Source organism: Homo sapiens, chromosome 19 (genome assembly GCF_000001405.40).
Source record: "Homo sapiens chromosome 19, GRCh38.p14 Primary Assembly".
NCBI classification, from domain to species: Eukaryota; Metazoa; Chordata; class Mammalia; order Primates; family Hominidae; genus Homo; species Homo sapiens.
In genome coordinates this window covers 51,988,431-51,991,331 of record NC_000019.10, presented here as the reverse complement: position 1 = coordinate 51,991,331, position 2,901 = coordinate 51,988,431, and positions in this window count along the sequence as shown.

The window sequence follows — 2,901 nt, the reverse complement described above, 5'->3', positions numbered from 1 at the left end:
GGCTTTGTGTGAGCACAATTTTTTACTTCTCTAGGATAATTACTGCAGAGTATGATTCATGGGTCATAAGGTAAGTGTATGTTTACCTTTGTAAGATACTAACCAGAGTGGTGTTTCATTGCTCACCAACAATATATAGAAAGGTTCAGTTGCTCCACATTCTTCCACTTGATGCTGTCAGTATTTTTTTTGTTTTGTATTGTTTTGTTTTGAGATGTAGTCTTGCTCTGTTGACCAGGCTAGAGTGCAGTGGCACGATCTTGGCTTGCTGCACCCTCTGCCTCCGGGGTTCAAGTGATTCTCCTGCTTCAGCCTCCTGAGTAGCTGGGATTACAGGTGCCTGCCACTGCGCCTGGCTAATTTTTGTATTTTTAGTAGTGACGGGGTTTCATCATCTTGGCCAGGCTGGTCTCGAACTCCTGACCTTGTGATCCACCCGCCTCAGCCTCCTGAAGTGCTGGGATTACAGGCGTGAGCCACCACGCAGGACTGGAATGTTTTATTTTACCTATTCTATTGTGTGTGTATTGGTATGAATACAAACATACCAATTGTATGTGGCCTTCCATTTGCACCTCCCTAAAGGCTTTTTTTTTTTTTTTTTTAAGAGACAAGGTCTCACTATGTTGCTCAGGCTGGAGTGCAGTGGCTATTCACAGGCACCATTATAGCACACTACAGTCTCAAACTCCTGGTCTTGAGAAGTTTTCTGTCCCAGCCTCCAGAGTAGCTGGGACTGCAGGCATTTGCCACTGTGCGCTGCTTAGAGCATTGTTTATTAATGCTGGATAAAGATTTTATCCAGCTGGATAAAGGTTTTATATCACTTGCAAATATTTTTCCATAGATGTGGTTCTTTCTTTTTTTCTCTCAGAGAAAAAGATTTTAATTATGATGAAGTCCAACTTTTTTTTTTGAGATGGAATCTTGCTGTCTTGCCCAGGCTGGAGTGCAATGGCATGATCTCGGCTCACTGCAACCTCTGCCTCCCAGGTTCAAGTGATTCTTCTGCCTCAGCCTCCCGAGTAGCTGGGATTACAGGCACCTGCCATCATGTCCCACTAATTTTTGTACTTTTGTAGAGATTGGGGTTTCACCGTGTTGGCCAAACTGGGCTCAAACTCCTGACCTCAGGTGATCTGTCCACCATGGCCTCCCAAAGTGCTGGGATTACAGGTGTGAGCCATTGCACCCAGCCTTTTTTTTTTTAATGGATTGTGGGGTTTTGGCATTACATCTAAGTATTCCTTCCTTACTGTAATTGATAATTCTTTTTCCACTTCCTTTGACAAAATAATGTAGTTTTGCTTCTTTTTTTTTTTTTTTTTTTTTTTTTTTTTGAGACAGAGTCTCACTCTCTCACCCAGGCTGGAGTTCAATGGCATGATCTTGGCTCACTGCAACCTCCGCCTCCTGGGTTTAGGTGATTCTCCTGCCTCAGCCTCCCAAGTAGCTAGGATTACAGGCACGCACCGGCATGCTCAGCTAATTTTTGTATTTTTAGTAGAGACGGGGTTTCACCATGTTGGCCAAGATGGTCTTGATCTCCTGACCTCGTGATCTGGCCACCTCAGCCTCCCAAAGTGCTGGGATTGCAGGCGTGAGACACCACGCCCAGCCAGTTTTGCTTTTTAATATTTAGCAATATCCATTTAAATTCATCTTTGTATATAGGGTAAGGGTTAATTTAAAGTTCAGCCTATGGTTGCCCAGTTGATTCAACAGTATTGAAAACACTGTCCTCTTTCCATTAAATTGATTTTGAACATTTGTAAAAATCAGTTGCCTGTTCTTGTGTCCATTTCTTGACTCTATTCTGTTGATGTGCGTGTCTATCACTCCACTAATAATCTACGGTCACTCCCATCAGAAATGACATAATATGCTCTATGAGGTAAAACAGCTATGTTACCTCATATAAAATGTTCAAAGCCAGAACCTGGACTTTGGGAAATGTCCCATATCCCTCTCCGGAAGCCCGCCTCCCAGTCTCTCGGTGTTCTTAGAGATGGCGAAGGATGGGGTTGCAGCACCAGAATTCCAGAATCGGAAGTAGGTTCTGATACGTGTTCAGCCTTTGGCAGCTGCTACTGTAGCCTTGAAAGCCTGATGCTGCGTGTGAATCCGGATGGGGAGCTTGTGGGGACGACCATGAAGTGGAAACGCATGTGAATGTCCGTGTTCAGGGGTTTTATTTCAGTTTAGTCACCGAGGAATATGGGTGTGAGAAAGAGACCCTTGGGATGTCAAAGGTTAAGGCTTAGTTTTAAGAGTTTAATGACTGAGGGTCCCACGGACAGAGCTTGAGGTCTATATGTTCACTTTTCATGAGTCTCAGTAATAGAAAACTGGGGAAAGTGTGTCTCAGTGAATGCTGTTTTTTGCTCAGATTTGCAATTTAATATGGGGCTCAGATACAGAGAAGCCCGAGCTAGGAAGAGGAGTGGCGTGAATGAAAGGTCTAGGGGGAGGAGTGTCAAAGGAGTGCCTCTGTGGTAAGTTTTAAATTGAATTTGAAGGCAATTTTATTTAGAGGAAGACGGGGCTTGTCTGTGTTTGAGAATGTAATGAGGCTGGAGGCTTTCAGGTGTGCAGTTGAAGGTTAGTGGTTGCTTTGAGACTAACTGGATGCTGGAAACACTTCCTGTCAGTCTTTCAAGTCCAAATCTGTCCTGAAGGTTTCTATTTAAAAACTTTTTCTTCCTAGGTCCACTATTCTCATTGTACCCATAAAAATCAGAGTAATTCAGGGTGACGAAGTGGTGTCTTTACCGAGGAGTCTTGCTCTGTCGCCCAGGCTGGGGTGCAGTGGCGCGATCTCGGCTTACTGCAACCTCCGCCTCCCGGATTCAAGCGATTCTCCTGCCTCAGGCTCCCGAGTAGCTGGGATTACAGGCGCGC